Source organism: Homo sapiens, chromosome 21 (genome assembly GCF_000001405.40).
Source record: "Homo sapiens chromosome 21, GRCh38.p14 Primary Assembly".
NCBI lineage: Eukaryota > Metazoa > Chordata > Mammalia > Primates > Hominidae > Homo > Homo sapiens.
In genome coordinates, this window is record NC_000021.9 from 30,486,779 (window position 1) to 30,488,230 (window position 1,452).

At 43.0% G+C, this 1,452-nt stretch overlaps 1 protein-coding gene across 1 annotated transcript; it reads right to left on the bottom strand.

Moving 5' to 3' along the window:
* Positions 1-264: 264 nt before the first annotated feature.
* Positions 265-658, bottom strand: KRTAP19-2 (keratin associated protein 19-2). The gene has a single exon (NM_181608.2). The coding sequence runs from the start codon at positions 568-570 to the stop codon at positions 412-414; it is 159 nt and encodes a 52-aa protein (NP_853639.1). The 5' UTR covers positions 571-658; the 3' UTR covers positions 265-411.
* Positions 659-1,452: the final 794 nt, after the last annotated feature.

The window sequence follows — 1,452 nt, forward strand, 5'->3', positions numbered from 1 at the left end:
ACCATCCTCCAGACCCCAGAATGGTAGATCCACAGACAGCTTCCACTGTGTGCCAGGAAAAGCTGCAGATACTCAATGCAAGCCTGTGAAAGCAGCCAGGAGAACTATACCCTGCAGAGCCACAGAAGTGGAGCTGCCCAATGCCCTGGGAGTCTACCCATTGCATCGATGTGGCCTGGGTGTGAGACATGCAGTAAAAGGAGATTATTTTGAAGCTTTAATATTTAATGACTGCCCTGCTGGGTTTTGGACTTGTTTGGGGTCTTATAGCCCCTTTGTTTTGGTCAATTTCTCCCTTTGGAATGGGAGCATTTACACATTTACACCTTTACCCCCATTGTATCTTAGAAGTAAGTAACTTGTTTTTAAATCCCTTCAAAATAACAGATGCTGCATCACTAGAGCAGCAGCTTAGTAGAAGCCAGTGAATCTATATCTTCTGTAGCATGATGGGCAGCAGCAGCCATCTCCACAGCCTCTGTGGCCACAACCATATCTGCATCCTTCATAGCCGCAGCCATAGCCCAGTCTGCAGAAGCTGCCACATCCACAGCCGTAGCCATAGCACATGCCACCAAAGCCTCCACAGCCATAGCCCAGACCTCCACAGTAGCTGCCCTAGTAGCTCACGGTGTCAGAGATAGTGAGTTGGGTTTGCTGTCCCAGGCAAGGTCCTGAGTGTGAATATAGCATGTTTAGGGAACGCTTATATACCCTGAGCAGAACATGTGATAAACATGTGGCCATCCTTTTGCAGCATCCCAATTTATTTATCTACTCTATACAAATAATCAATCTGTTTGTTAGCACAAGGAGAGACACAAACTCATTAAAATCTTTGAGCTGGCTTAGCTGCATGGTTAGAATGCCCTTGAACTTATTACATTTTTTTTTTAAGATGGAGTCTTGCTCTTGTCACCCAGGCTGGAGTGCAATGTTGTGATTTCAGCTCACTATAAACTCCACCTCCTGGGTTCAAGTGATTCTCCTGCCCCAGCCTCCTGAGTAGCTGGGATTACAGGTGTCTGCCACCACTCTCAGCTAATTTTTATATTTTTAGTAGAGACAGGGTTTCACCATGTTGGCCAGGCTGGTCTCGAACTCCTGACTTCAGGTGATCCACACACCTTGGCTTCCCAAAGTGCTGGCATTACAGGCTTGCGCCACTGCGCCCAGCTGATACATTCTTTTTAATGATAAAATAGTCTGCATCTTCAAAGTTACACAATTTTTAAAAAATCCTAAATTCTTCATCACTATGCATATTGAATTATTTGTATTTGACACTGTGTTTTTATTAAATGTTTTCTCATTTCTCATTTTTACACCATTCCTTAGATTGTTCTATTTTACCTCCACCTAGATTCAAATAAATCGATCAAGTTTAAAACTTTTAAATCTAGTAAAGCCTTCAAATATCAAATATTTTTATTGCGTTGAGAAATTAAGGCT

Coding starts and splice junctions, on each gene's coding strand:
- KRTAP19-2 (NM_181608.2), bottom strand. CDS start 570: ATGTGCTATGGCTACGGCTGTGGATGTGGCAGCTTCTGCAGACTGGGC.